This window comes from Homo sapiens, chromosome 6 (genome assembly GCF_000001405.40).
Source record: "Homo sapiens chromosome 6, GRCh38.p14 Primary Assembly".
Classification (NCBI taxonomy): Eukaryota; Metazoa; Chordata; class Mammalia; order Primates; family Hominidae; genus Homo; species Homo sapiens.
In genome coordinates this window covers 102,140,737-102,157,144 of record NC_000006.12, presented here as the reverse complement: position 1 = coordinate 102,157,144, position 16,408 = coordinate 102,140,737, and positions in this window count along the sequence as shown.

Sequence of the window (16,408 nt, the reverse complement as noted above, 5' to 3'; positions counted from 1 at the left end):
TGATCCAAATGCTAAGGAGAAGAATGTTATTCTGCAGCTCTTGCATGAAATGTTTTTTTAAGTATCTATTAGGTCCATTTGGTCTAGAGTACAGATTAAGTCTAATGTTTCTTTGTTGATTTTCTGTCTGGAATATCTTTCCAATGCTGAAAGTGGGGTGTTGAAGTCTCCAGCTATTATTGTATTGTAGCCTTTAGCTCTAATCATATTTTCTTTATATATCTGGATGCTCCAGTGTTGGGTGCATATATATTTAAAATTCTTAAATCCTCTTGATGAATTGACCTCTTTATCATTATGTGGTGACTGTCTTTGTCCCTTCTGTTAGTTTTTGTCTTAAAATCTACTTTGTCTGATATAAGTATAGAGACTCCTGCTTTTATTTTGGTTTCCATTGGCATAGATTATCTTTTCCCATTTTTTTTATTTTCAGTCTATGTGTGTCTTTGTATGTTATAGGTGGAGTGCATTTCTTGTAGGCAACAGAACAATAGGTCTCTTTTTTAATCCATTCAGTCTGTCTTTTGATTGGAGAGCTTAGTCCATTTACATTCAATGTTATTATTGATGAGTAAGGACTTACTTTTGCCATTCTGTTATTTATTTTCTGGATGTTTTGTAGTCTTCTCTTCCTTTTATGTTTCCTTCCTGTAGGGAAGGTGATCTCTGGCAATATGATTTAGTTTCTTCCTTTTTATTTTTTGTGTGTTCATTGTATATTTTTTGGTTTGAGTTTCCCATGAGGCTTGCAAATACTATCTTATAACCCATTATTTTGACCTGATAACAACTGAACATTATTTGCATAAACAAGCAAACAAGCAAAAAAGTAAACTAATAAAAACTCTATGCCTTAACATTGTCCCCCAGATTCTTAACTTTTTGTTGTTTATATTTCTATCTTATTGTACAGAATATGTCTTGAAAAGTTATTGTAGTTATTAATTTTGATTGGTTCATTGTTTAGTCTTTGTTATTAGGATAAATGTAGTTTACACACAGCAGTTACAGTGTTATAATGTTCTGTGTTTTTCTCTGTGCTATTACCAGTGAGCTTTGTATATTTGGGTGATTATTTATTGCTCATTAATGTCATTTTCTTTCTGATTGAAGTACTCCTTTTAGCAATCCTTGTAGTACAGGTCTAGCTAGTATTAACTAAATCCTTCAGCTTTTGTTTGTCTGGGAAAGTCTTTATTTCCCCTTCGTGTTTGAAGGATATATTTGCTGCATATACTATTCTAAGGTGAAAGGTTTGTTTGTTTGTTTGTTTGTTTGTTTGTTTTCAACACTTTAAATATGTCATGTCATTATTCCTGGCTTGTAAGCTTTCCACTGAAAAGTCTGCTGTCAGGCATCATGGAGCTTCATAGTATGTTATTTGTTTCTTTTCTTTTGCTGCTTTTAGGATTATTTATCTTTGACCTTTGGGAATTTAAAAAGTAAATGCCTTCAGGTAGTATCCTTTGGATTAAATCTGCTTGGTGTTCTATAACCTACTTGTATACTTGTATATTGATGTCTTTCTCTAGGTTTGGGAAGTTCTCTCTCATTATCCCTTTGAAGAAACTTTCTACCTCTATCTCTTTCTTTACCTACTCTTTAAGGCCAATAACTCTTACATTTGCCCTTTTGAGGCTATTTTCTAGATCCTCTATGTGTGCTTCATTGTTTTTTATTCTTTTTCTCCCTCTGACTCTATATTTTCAAATAGCCTGTCTTCAAGCTCACTAATTCTTTATTCTGCTTGATTAATTCTGCTATTAAAGGTCTTTGATGCATTCTTCAGTATGCCGATTGTATTTTTCCCCTCCAGAATTTCTGCTTGATTCTTTTTTTTATTTCAATCACTTTGTTAAATTTATCTGATATAATTCTGAAATTTTTCTGTGTGTTATCTTTAATTTCTTTGAATTTTTCTCAACACAGCTATTTTGAATTATCTACTTGAAAGGCCACAGATCTCTGTTTCTCCAAGATTGTTTCTGTTGCCTTGTTTAGTTAAGCGAGGTCATGTTTTCCTGGATGGTTCTGATGCCAGTAGATGTTCTCTGGTGTCTTGGCATTGAAGAGTTGGGTATTTATTACAGTCCTTGCTATCTGGGCTTATTTTTAGCATCTTTCTTGGGAAGGCTTTTCCAATGTTTGAAAGGACTTGGGTGTTATCTGTATATATAATAAGCTGTATCTACTTTAGGGAGCACCCCAAACTCAGTAATGCTGTGGATCTTATGGATTTATACAAATATCCCCTTGATGATTTTGGACAAGTTCCAGGAGAATTCTCTGGACTACCAGGCAGAGATTCTTTGTTCTCTTCCCTTTCTCCCAGATTCTCACTCTCTCTTTATGAGCCACTTAAAGCTGGCAGTAAAGTGACACAGGCACCCCTGTGGCTACCACCACTATCACTGCACTGAGACAGGCCTGAAGCCAGCACAGCACTGAGTATCACCCAAGTTCTGCTGTAACCACTCCATGGCTACTGCTTATATTAGCTCAAGGCCCTGGGGCTCTACAATCAGCAGGTGGCAAAGCCAGCCAGGTCTGTGTACTTCCCTTTGGGTTGGTGAGGTCCTCAAGCCCATGGGTAGGTCCAAAGTTGCTGGCCAGAAGTCAGATACAAGAGTCAAAAACCTTAAAATTTACCTGGTATTCTGTTGTACTGCATCTGAGCTGGCACTGAAACCACAAGATGGAGTCCTTCCCATTCATCCCTCTCCTTTCCAAAGGCAAAGGAGCTTCACCTCTTAGCCACCACCACCCCAGGCCATGAGTCATACACCAGACTACCAGCCAATGTTCTTTTAAGGCCCAAGGGCTCTTAAATCCCCTTGTGTTGAATGCTGCCTTGCCTGGAGCTCGCCCTTCAGGAAAGTGGGCTCCCCTCTGGCCCAGGCCAGGTCCGGAAAAGCTGTCCAAGAGTCAAGCCCTGGAATCAAGGACCCCAAGGGTCCACTTGGTGCTCTGCCTTCCGAGGTCATGCTGATACTTAAGGTGCAAGTCAAAGACCCCATTTACTTTTCCGTCTGTTCTTCTCAAGCAGAAGGAGTTTTGCCCCATAACCACCCCACCTGGTAATGTGCTGAGTCACAACTGAAGCCAGCAAGTCTCAGAGGTGCATCCAAATCCCTCAATGTAGTACCTGAGTATCACTGCTGATTATTTGGGGCCCAAGGGCTCTTCAGTTGGCAGGTGATAAATGCTGCCAGGACTGGGTTCTTTGCTTCAAGGCAGCAGGTTCCCTTCTAACCCACTGTGTGTCTAGAAATGTCATCTGGGAGCTAGGGTCTGGAACGGGGGCCTCACAACTCTGTGTTGTGCCCTATCCTGCTGTGGTTAAGCTGGTATCCAAGATGCAAGACAAAGTCTTCCCCCCTCTTCCCTCTTTTCTTCTCAAGCAGAAGGAAGGGGGTCTCTTTTGGAGCCACGAGCTGTGCAAACTGGATTTAGGGGAGGAATGATGCCCTCACCCACTTGGCTGTCCTAGTTAGTGTCTCAGTAAGCTGCATGCTCTCTCAGTCCACTGTCTCTGGGCCTAGTTTAGCACTAGGTCTCACCCAAGAGTTGCAGTCTTTATGGCCTAGACAGTCATTCAAATTTACTTGGAAACACAGAGTGCTATAGCCCTTGGTGGCAAGGTTTGCAGGCACTCAAGTTCAAACTACTGGGATCGGTAATTCCTCTCTGTCTACGGTCAGTTTCAATGCTCCCGGTTTTCCTTTCTGCTCTAATAGGACACCACCGAGTTCAGTGTTTCAAAATTGCTATGTTCGTTCTCCCTCAGTGCTCAAGAGACACTCTCTGCAAGCTGTGGCTGCCTGGTGTTGGGGAGGTGTGGCATTGGCAATCACAACTGTGTTTGCTATCTATTCAGTGCCTCTTTCAGTGATAGGAAGGTAAAACCAGGTACTCTGTGTGCTCACCTGATTTTTGTTTTTTATGAAGGTGTTTTTTTATGTGCAGATAGTTGTTAACTTGGTGTCCTTATGCAGGGGAAAATCGAGGGAGCCTTCTATTCTGCCATTTTGCTCTGAATCCCCCCTAGATTCCATTTGTTTTTAGAAAAGCCTGTCATTTTTAATAAAGTTTAAATGTGCACTTTTAAATCGACATTCACATTTCTCCACTTTTTCATACTATTTTCACTCCAAACTTACCTTGTTTTATCCTACTCTTTGTCATTTCTTTCAGACTCAGAATAATTCAGGCATAATTTTTCATTGTTTTTCCTTCCAGATGTTTGAGGAAAGGAGGTGCCATTATGCTGAGAATGAATGTAGTCAAATTATTTTGTGATTATACAGATCTGGTTTTGGATTTTTATCCAGTGCTGCCTGGCTGTGTGAACTTGGTCACCATTCATATCTATTTCAGAGAGAATTGGTTACCATTCATATCAATTTCAAATGAGAATTCCCTTGTTTATAAATAGTTATAATAATACTCACCATTCAGGATTTATTTTATTTTATTTATTTATTTCGAGACAGGTCTCTGTTACCCAGGCTGGAGTGCAGTGGCAAAATGATGGCTCATTGCAGCTTCAACCTCCTGGGCTCAGCAGATTCTCCAACCTCAGCCTCTTGAGTAGCTGAGACCACAGCACGTGTCACCACACCAAGCTACTTTTTTTTTTTAAATTTTTTTGTAGCAATGGAGTTTCCTTACGTTGCCTAGGCTGGTCTCGAACTCCTGTGCTAAAAAGGTCCTGCTGCCTTAGCCCCCCAAATTGCTCAAATTACAGATGGGAGCTGCTGTGCCTGGCACATTATTTGGGATTTTTAAAAGATGTATGGATTAATGGATATTAAATGCTCAGCTAGTAATAGGCATTAGAGTATATTACTTCCTTTTGGTTTCCTCTTGTGTATGTCTCAATACAAGTAAAGAAATAGGCAAAGAATATAAACCATTTAGAGTAACATCTCTACACTGGACTTTAATTACAGCCTTTAGAATTTTTTTATGATTCATACTCTATGATGTTAATATCCTAAGGGTTTTGCCTGTGAGAAACAGGGTGGTACAGTGAAAGAGACTTGAGTTCTAATCCCAGCTGCATCACTCCCTTGTTGTGTGACTCAAGGCAAGTTAATTAAATGCTCTGGGTTTCAGTTTACATATCTATAAAAAAAATGAGTGTAAGAATGCTTACTCCTCAAAGGACTGTTTAAGGTTTAAATAAGATTGTGTTTGATGTATAGTTATGTAAGTATAAATGATGATCTGGGAGAACATAGACCTAAGGTTAAGCTGTTTCACAAAGTAGAATAATATGGCATTCAGACTGTCACTATATTTTATAGAATAACCTAATCACTCCTAGTGGAAGGCTCTACACTCTACTTCCCTCTGTAATGTGCTCATCTTGTCAGCACAGTCAACACAAACAAAAAGTTAGCTGAATCAACATTTTTTACAATCTTATACACTCTTTTCTCTTCATTCTGTTTTTATTTATTCTGTTCTTCTTGCCCCTTGTGAATATATATATTTCTCTATGTATATACTTTTTATTTCTCTCTTTTATTATTCCCATGGTTCACAACTCTGGCTATGTATCAGAATCATCTGAAGAGCTCTAGAGAAAATATGAATGCCTAAGTTGCACTCCAGATCAATTGGGTCAGAATCTCACAATTGTTCTCAAACTTTATTATGCATCAGGATCATCTGGAGTAAGACTCCAATATAAGCACTTTAAAAAAAGTTCTCACAAGATTCTGATGCATACCAATGGTTGAAAACCCCTGTTATGCTTTCCTTGACTTTAAAAGTTACTCATTATTACTTTTTTTTTTTTTTTTTTTTTGGCAGTCCCACCATTTTCAACCCATAAGCCCGGACTTGTTACTTTTGGTTGTCAAGATAGTAGGATTAAGCTCGTTGTCTGTCAAGCAACCCAATCATCTATAGATTATTTTTACATTCATTCAACACTTACAATTGAGATACATTCCTTGCTATGAAGGATTTCCAGGCCTAGTACAAGAAGTAACAAATAAACACAAATTGAAGTATAATATAAATGTGCTTAACCTTTGAGGTGGAAGCTTAAAGAGAAGGCTCATTCTCACTGCATACACCATGCAGTGTTGAACTCAAGTCTCAAATTACAAGTACAAATTTGACAAGTGAGGCATGTAGGGAAGAACATTCTAAAACATATTCTTTGTTTTGTTTTTAATTTTTATTTTCTTAGAAAGATGCAAATTATAGGTACTTAGGTACTTAATTTATTAGAAGAATTTTATCATAAGAGATGCTTGTCACTATGTGATCTAGGCTGACAGTGAGACACTTGGGTGGGGTGTAAGTGGGGAAAGGACAAATACATTTAGTCAAGCTATACTGAAATCTAGTACAGGCTTTAAAGTCAATGTCAGCACAAATCCACATTCTATAACTCAGAATAATCCTTACTTCGCAAAAAGAGCAATAGGACAGAGGTGCAAAAATTTTCATCTAAAAAATTTATCGTTGCTATTTATTGTTGAGCCCCTCTAGTGCCCCCATTGCACTTGGCATCCAGCATTACTTATGCCTGGTCAGTACTAGCCAAGATAGGCTATAAATCAGGCTTCAATCCTGACCTCTGTTGGTGCCACTGAAAGAATAATTAGCACCTGCACCGCAGGCTCAGATTCCCACTTTGCTGCCTGTCTATGCATCATTTCAAGTAACAAACAAACTACTTCTGCTGCCTGCTCTGACCACCTGCCATCCCATTCCTTCATCATTTCTCTAAACATAACCTTTAAAGGTAGTCTAAGATGTGGCAGACAATCTAGCAGCTTTTATTTTGAAATACATAGTTCATGTAGCTTTTCGTTTAAATTCTGAGTGCCTATTTAAGTGATCCTTTGTAATATTGCCTACCTGCTGAATTGTTGCTGCCAGTTCCCATATTTTCGCTATTAACAATTGCTAGTGCTGCCAAGTCCCCTTTTAAATATCTGAAGAGAGTATGCAGTTCAAATACACTTGTTAAAAACACAAGAATGCTTTATTTGTTCGGGTGACTCTAGCACTGATATAAGTAATATCTGCATTGATCCTATCTGATATTTGCAGTGAATATTTAAATCTTTCATCTGCTTTAGTTTCTAATCCCATTTCCCTGAAACATATAACTTGTCTGTGTTTACCAAGTTGGTTCCATCAATAACCTCAAATTGACCTCAACAAATCTACAATATAGAAAAATAATTATATACACCTTTTTTGTAATGCATGCAATGTAAAAATAAATATATTTTGGTTTATATATCCAACATCAAATAGAGTACTTACAAAAATCCAAAATTTTTATACAATCTAGTCTTAATTTACACTTAAAGAAGCCAAGATCCAATACTATTAATAGTGGATCCTCAGTGAAAGAACCAAAATTAAAATGTCAGAGTTTCTGACCTCACATTTAGGAATCTTTTTATTAGTCTTAATTTTCCCAGGGCTTCTTAATAAAACTTCGTAACAATGAGAAAGGTAATGTGTATAACTAAAATAAAATTACAGACTATTAAATTAAAATGTCATCTTTTAAAAATTTTTGAAGTTGTACATGTGCAAAAAAAGTAGTTGATACTTTTGCTATGTCTGTTTATTTGTTAAAGATGCTCTTCCAGAGCTATCATAATTTATTCATTCTGCTTTAATGATGCCATTTTCTTCACTTCTAATTTGACAACAGTATTCACTTGTCTCTTTGGTGGATTATAGACAGCTGCAGAAGAGAGATCCAACTGCATATTGGCAGAAGCTCATAGACATATAAGGCTGTTTTGGGTACAATTGCAGTTTAATTTAGGCTGATGAACAAATACACCAGAGTTTGCTTGTCAGGAATTTGGCCACATATTTTGCTGAATATTTATGTGCTTCTAAATTTCTACAATTCTTAAGAAATATAATTTTTGTCTATTTCACATTTTGTATATTAAAGAGCTTGGAGTTTCCTCATTTCTTTTATAAACTTTCGATTCTAAGGTTACATGGTCCAAGGTAAAGTGTTTACAGATGAGAAAACAGATCCTGAGTGGTTAAGGGATAGTTTCAAAATTACACAGCTAATTCACTGGACATCTAAATTTCAGTATTTCCTGTGTATTCTAACTGCCACCAGACAAAGACTTTTTAGTAGGCATAATTAAGCAAGTATTATGTTTGGAAACTATATATTTTAATATAATTCCTGGCTAAAATAATGTAAACATCATAATTTCTATTTCCCCCTTATTCATTTATCTGACCTCAAATATCATGTAATTTTATAATAAATATGGTGCTCTAACACCAACAAATAATTGTTTTTTTCTCTATTTTGTATAACTGTAGTTAGATATTTACTTATCTAAGAGTCTTAGCATTAGATTAAGTCTGAGAGCTCATCTGTTCCTGTCTCCCTCTAACTTTGTTAATATTCTGCATTATCCTACTGCGTGAGTTAACCAACCTCTCTGAATGCTTTAAGTAGCAACAAGCTCTGTGAGGCAAAATTTCCTTAGCTAGACCACCTTAATAGAACCTGGGATTACTTTATTCAATTAGCATATATTTTTGTCTTACTATGAGCCAGATGATTTGTTAAACACTAAGACAATAAAAGGAGAAATAAGTCATACTTGGAGACATCAGTTGCTCATAGTCTAGAAGAGACAAAAATAATGTTTGCATGCAAATAAGCATAATGCAAATTAAGACTAAGCTTTGTAAAAGCATTTAGTGAAGTATCAAGAGCTAACATTTCCTGAATTTTTTCCTCTGTGCCAAACAATGTCCACGTAAGGGTAATAGGGGCTCAGTGAGGTAGAGACTGTCATCTTCTACATATTATTCATAAAGATGCCAAAGAGCAGAGTGTCAAATACTATATTAAAGCCACACAAAAAGTTGGTGGTGGATCTGGAATTCAAGGTAGATTGTTTCTAAACTAATACTTCCACAATGTAATATCTTACCAATCTTAAAGGAAAAGGAAAATTAATAGAGTCCAACGTGTGTTTAAAAAATTCATGATGTAACAATAAAGTGGACAAAAATTGACAAAAATACCCCTTAGATTATGGACAATAAAAGTATGTCCATTACAATAAGATGACTGTGAGAGAATAAAGCAGGAAATGTGGGCTGCAGCCAGATTACTAAGAATCTAGCATGCCAGCCGAAGGTGTTTGCTATTTATTGAGAAGCTATTGAAATTTTAGAGTGTAAAAAATGACACAATCAGAACAGAGTTTCAGGTAAATTCACTTTGTAGGAGTCTGAGATAATGTTGGATGAAGCCAAAGATGGAAAAGCACATGGGTTCAATGGTGGCAGTGACAATGAGAGTGATTTTTTTTTTTCCATGAGCCAGCATATTTCTCTCCAAGTTTTTGTTATATTCTCGGTTAGGTATCTATCTTCTAGAGTGATACAGGCTATGTGCCCTGATATTTTCTGAGGTTACATGAAAAAATGTATCTTTTGATGTATTCAAATTGCAAGCTATTAAGATTATTTAATACCCTGCTTGCTAAATCTCTCATTCTAGAAACCAAGCATATAAATGAATATATACTTCTAGGTTCCTCTATACAAGTAATATGTACACCAATAGCACCAAGACAGCGGCTATATATCAGATTTATTAATATTTTCAGGATTTATACAAATGTATTAGAAAAAGTTCCTCGATGCATAATTCATAGTAATACATATTTTCACTTGATTAAGTGATTTATGGGAAAGATAGGTGGAGCATTTGTAGTCTGACAATTGGAGTACAGAAAAAAAGTTGTGTGAGATCCAGTAATATGGAAAAATATATAAAAATTGATTATGCCAATTATTAAGGAATTTATAGATTTAGGAGAAAGATAAACATTTACCCTCAATCTATATTGCAAAACTACTTGACATTAGAAACCAAAATCAGTTACAACAAAAAAGATAGTGCTCTAATTTTATAGGTTGTCTGTTTACTTTATCGATAATTCTTTTGTTGTGCATAAGCTCTTTAATTAGGTGACACTCATCATTTTTTGTTTTTGTTGCAAATACTTTTGGAAATAGTCACAAATTATTTGCCAAGGTTGATATCCAGAATGGTATTTCCTAAATTTTGCTCTAGGACTTTTATAGTTTAAATCTTACATTTAAGTCTTTAATACATCTTGGGTTGATTATTGTATATGATGAAAGGAAGGGGTTCAGTTTCAATCTTCTGGATATGGCTAACCAGTTATTACAGCATCACTTATTGAATAGGGAATCTTTTCTTCACTTCTTGTCATTGTCAACTTTGTTGAAGATCAGATGGCTGTAGGTGAGCGGCTTTATTTCTGGATTATCTATCCTGTCCCATTGGTCTATGTGTCTAATATCCATGATCTATAAGGAACTTAAGCCATTCCACAAGCAAAAAGGAATCCCATTAAAAAAATGGGCAAAGGACATGAACAGACAGTTCTCAAAAGAAGACATACATGTGGCCAACAAATACATGAAAAAATGCTCAATGTCTCTAGTCATTAGAGAAATACAAATGTAAACCACAGTGAGATACCATCTCACACCAGTCAAAATTACTATTATTAACAAGTCAAAAAATAACAGATGCTGGTGAAGTTACAGAAAGAAGGGAGCAATATACACTGCTGGTGGGAGTGTAAATTAGTTCAGCCACTGTGGAAAGCAGCTCAGTTTTAAGTTGATATTTCTGTTGTCAATTCTTTGAAATTTCTCAAAGAACTTAAAACAGAACTTCCATTTGACCCAGCAATACTACTGCTGGGAATATACCCAAAGGAAAGTAAATTGTTCTACCAAAAGGACACATGCACTCATTATGCATACTCATGAATATTGCAGCACTATTCACAACAGCAAAGACATGGGATCAGCCTAGATGTCCATTAATAGTGAACTGGACAAGGAAAATGCAATATATATGCCATGGAATACTATGCAGCCATAAAAAGGAATGAAATCATGTCTTTTGCAGCAACAAGGATGTAATTGGAGTCCATTATCCTAAGTGAATCAACGCAGAAACAGAAATTCAAATACCACATGTTCTCACTTATAAGCAAGAGTTAAACATTGAATATACATGGATACAAAGATGGGGAAAATTAGACACAAGGGACGACTTGAGGTGGGAGGCTGGGAGAGGGATGTGAGTTGAAAAACTACCTATCAGTTAGTATGCTCCCTACCTGGATGATGATATCATTTGTACACCAAACCTCAGTGGCATGCAGTTTTTACCCATGTAACAAACCTGCACATATAACCCCCTGAAATTAAAATAAAATAAAATAAATTTAAAAGACAGTGTTATATTTGCTTTATTTATGCATCTATGTATGTATGTATGTATGTATGTATGTATGTATGTATCTATCTATCTATCTATCTATCTATCTATCTATCTATCTATCTATCTATATTTTTCACTTAAAAACTAGATCCTAAGACACTCCTTTTGCCAATCCATTTATTCATTTTAAATATTTTGAGGCTTAGTGGCAAAATCCCTAAGAATGTATACACTAAGTAAACCATCAACCTCAATTTATTCTAAGAATAAAATAATGGATATGTGCCATAATGTTACCATAAAAAAGTTTAGTATATCATTACCAAGAGCAAAGAAAATTGCAGAATTCATTAAATAAGTAGTGCCTGGAAGAATTTAGAAATTATTTTGGTAAACGTATATTTAATAAATTAAAAATATTTCAGATAAAAATTCAGGCTATAAAACAAGGGAATGATATAATTGTGTGTATATCTAACATATATACAATATGTTAATTCCAGTTTTCACTGGGTGGTACCCTCATAATTTCCATGCTTTTATTCATTTAGAAGATTTTCTGCACTAGGACAACTTAGAAAGCTATAGTTTAATAGCTTTCGTCTGAGCTGCAGAAATGCTTTTGTTGAGCTGCAGTGAGCCATCCTTTGAGAATATTTATTTCACTGATGTTTTCTTCAATCATGTTTTTGATTATGACTTCCATTTCAAATTTTCTGCCTTCACAGAAACACATACAATTTTCAGCTCAGATATCTGCTTCTTCCATATATACTAGCCTCTCACTAATCATTTTTGTTCATTTTTAAGCAATCTCTACGAATGTTACCCTGAAAGTACACATTCCAATTTCTACACTATTTATTCATCTTTATATTACTGTGATATTTATATTATGTTGTGATATATTTAGTTGATTTTCATTCATTCATCTCACACACAATGTGTTATTTTTTATCTCAGTTTATATCCTCTTTATGTTATTCATTTCTCTATCATGGCGGGTTGCTTGAATATTATCAATGATGTAAATATATTTCTAAATAATCTTGCTAAGGTAAGTTTTATTAAATAACTTTCAGAGACCTCTGTGATTATACCCTAATCAAGATTATATTTTAGTTATAGAGTGTTCATTAAAGTTTACTGGTTGTTCTGCTCATTCAGAGAAATATATGTACTCCACTTGGTCTGGAACCTTAACTATTGAGGCCTGCTCAAGTCTCCTTCACAGATAAGCTTACAAGCAGGTTGAAAGCATAATTCCTAGCTTGATCCCTAATGTCTAGTAAGCATTCTTGAACCAAGATTATCTTACTAGTGTAGCATAGTTAAGAGCATGGATTTTGAAACCATAGCTTGAGTTCCAACTCTGCTACTTTCTATTTGACCTTGAATAAGTTACCTGAAACCTTTGTGACTCAATATCCTCATTCAAAAATGAAAATAAAAAGAATACCTTCTTTATTGGTTGTTGTGAGAGTTAACTAAATTAATGTGTATAAAGTCCTTATATAATATTTGTCTAGCCAGGTGTGGTGGCAGGTGCCTGTAATCCCAGCTACTGGGGAGGCTGAGGCAGGAGAACCGCTTGAAACTGGAGGCAGAGTTTGCAGTGAGCCGAGATCGCACCATTGCACTCCAACCTGGACAACAAGAGCAAAACTCCACCTCAAAAAAAAAGAAAAAAGTAATAAAAAGAAAATTTGTGATTCCATTTAAAACACAGGCAATTAAATATTCAACTCATTTCTCACTAAAAAATAAAATAAAAATACTGTTTGTCACCTAGAAAGTGCTATAAAAATGTCGGCAACTATTTTTATTTCTCTCCGTCCCTACCTCACCACCACTGTTTCTTGACTCTCTGGAAACCTAATCAGAAAAAGAATAAGAAAAAAGATCATCTAAAGTGTATAATACCTCTTTATTTGGACTCCTCTTCCCTCTCCCCTGACCTGTAGCTTAATAATTGTGAATAATAGACTTTTGGAGAAGTGACTTCCTGCCACACCATCTCATCCAACCTTTTTTTTCCCATTGCTCTATGTCTTGTCCAGATGATTTTGTGATTTGTCATTTTCAGGTGGTTATATATACATACCAACAGGGATAGTGATGGTGGTATGAGAAAAAGCACTCTCAGTCACTCAAAACACAATATACATGATATAGAAATGTTCTAGAATACTTCCATTAATTTCTCCTTTTTATCTATTTTTTGAGCCAAGAATCAGACATGATAAAGAAGTGGAGGATACAAACAAATAAAAGAACATTCCACGCTCATGGGTAGGAAGAATCAATATAGTGAAAATGGCAATACTGCCCAAGGTAATTTATAGATTCAATGCCATCCCCATCAGGCTATCAGTGACTTTCTTCACAGAATTGGAAAAAACTACTTTAAAGTTCATATGGAACCAAAAAAGAGCCCACATTGCCAAGTCAATCCTAAGCCAAAAGAACAAAGCTGGAGGCATCATGCTACCTGACTTCAAACTATACTACAAGGCTACAGTAACCAAAACAGCGATATACACGGATGGAACAGAACAGGGCCCTCAGAAATGATGCCACATATCTACAACCATCTGATCCTTGACAAACCTGACAAATACAAGAAATGGGGAAAGGATTCCCTATTTAATAAATGGTGCTGGAAAAACTGGCTAGCCATATGTAGAAAGCTGAAACTGGATCCCTTCCTTACACCTTACACAAAAATCAATTCAAGATGGATTAAAGACTTAAACGTTAGACCTAAAACCATAAAAACCCTAGAAGAAAACCTAGGCAATACCATTCAGGACATAGGCATGGGCAAGGACTTCATGTCTAAAACACCAAAAGCAATGGCAACAAAAGCCAAAATTGACAAATGGGATCTAATTAAACTAAAGAGCTTCTGCATAGCAAAAGAAACTACCATCAGAGTGAACAGGCAACCTACAGAATGGGAGAAAATTTTTGCAATCTACTTATCTGACAAAGGGCTAATATCCAGAATCTACAATGAACTCAAACAAATTTACAAGAAAAAAACAAACAACCCCATCAACAAGTGGGCAAAGGATATGAACAGACATTTCTCAAAAGAAGACATTTATGCAGCCAAAAGACACATGAAAAAATGCTCATCATCACTGGCCATCAGAGAAATACAAATCAAAACCACAATGAGATACCATCTCACACCAGTTAGAATGGTGATCATTAAAAAGTCAGGAAACAACAGGTGCTGGAGAGGATGTGAAGAAATAGGAACACTTTTACACTGTTGGTGGCACGGTAAACTAGTTCAACCATTGTGGAAGTCAGTGTGGTGATTCCTCAGGGATCTAGAACTAGAAATACCATTTGACCCAGCCATCCCATTACTGGGTATATACCCAAAGGATTATAAATCATGCTGCTATAAAGACACATACACACATATGTTTATTGTGGCACTATTCACAATAGCAAAGAGTTGGAACCAACTCAAATGTCCAGCAATGATAGACTGGGTTAAGAAAATGTGGCACATATGCACCATGGATATTATGCAGCCATAAAAAATAATGAGTTCATGTCCTTTGTAGGGACATGGATGAAGCTGGAAACCATCATTCTCAGCAAACTATCGCAAGGACAAAAAACCAAACACCGCATGTTCTCACTCATAGGTGGGAATTGAACAATGAGAACACGTGGACACAGGAAGGGGAACATCACACACCAGGGCCTGTTGTGGGTTGGGGGGAGGGATAGCATTAGGAGATATACCTAATGTTAAATGACGAGTTAATGGGTGCAGCACACCAACATGGCACATGTATACATATGTAACTAACCTGCACGTTGTGCACATATACCCTAAAACTTAAAGTATAATAAAAAAAAAAGAAAAAAAAAGAAGTGGATTCACTTGTTATCTTTCAGAAAACAGAATTACTACATTTTCCCCATTGTTGTGTGTTTATCTAATTGGTATTTTGTGTGGTTGTTTATTGATTTCTGCAATCCAGATCCATCATTTTTGTTATTAATAGATATGTTTCCTAAATGCTATTAATAGTTCAAATCTCATATCTAGTTTGGGTTTCTGTTCTATGTCTTCTAATTTTGATATATATAGAGAGAGATAAGAGGCAGTAGCAGGTGCTGCTGTTCAGATTTAACTTTAAGATTAATTATAAGAGTCCATTTGCAAGGATTTGGAATTTGGAGTGGCAATTGTTTTTTTTTTTTTGAAAAGCAAGAGTAATGAATTATGATTTAAAACATTTAACACTACCTAGGAAGGTAGCAATTCTGATACATACTAACTTTCCTGACAAGAGGCCGCTAATATAAACAGTGTGAATTCCACAGTGAGTAAGATGAAATTTAGATGGATAGAGAGATCCTCTTCAGATGAACTTTAGTTGATGACATTGATGACTAAATGAAGAAAGCTGCTGAATAGGGACAACAGAAGATTCCTGTTTTTCTAGTGGAGAAATATTGGGTCTTATGTTGTCATTTAATGGGATAACAAATCATATAAAAGACATAGTTTTGGGAATTAATAAGTCAAATTTTAGAAATTCTGGATCTGATATGCCTTTGGGCATCATATTGAAATTGTCAGTAAGCTAATAAGAAAAAGAAAAGGAGTCTGGCCATGTTAGCTCGCATTTTATTTAATAAATATTTTATTTTGCATACTCCATGACAGGTACTGAAAAAAGACTCGTGCTATGACAATGAATAAGGCAAAATCCTCTCTCTCTTTCCTGCCAGAGACTTTATTTAGCAGCATGAGCCAGGAAAAACCACACAGTCTGTCTCTGATAAAAGTAATAAGTTAGGTTTTGTTAATTAAAAAAAGTGTTTTTGTCTATTGTCTACTTTGTTTTATTACTAAACTAGCAAATAATACACAAGAGGTCTTAAAGGATATGTTAAGAGAATGGCTTCCTTGTTTTTTATGGGGTAAGCTCAAAGTTCGAATTGTATGAAATAAGGAGTGAAAAATACACCATGCAGAGCAGCTCAAAACTGAGGACTTACTGTCTTAAACACCATTTTACCCAGAAAGTACTACATTAACATTCAAATTTCTACCTAAGGATA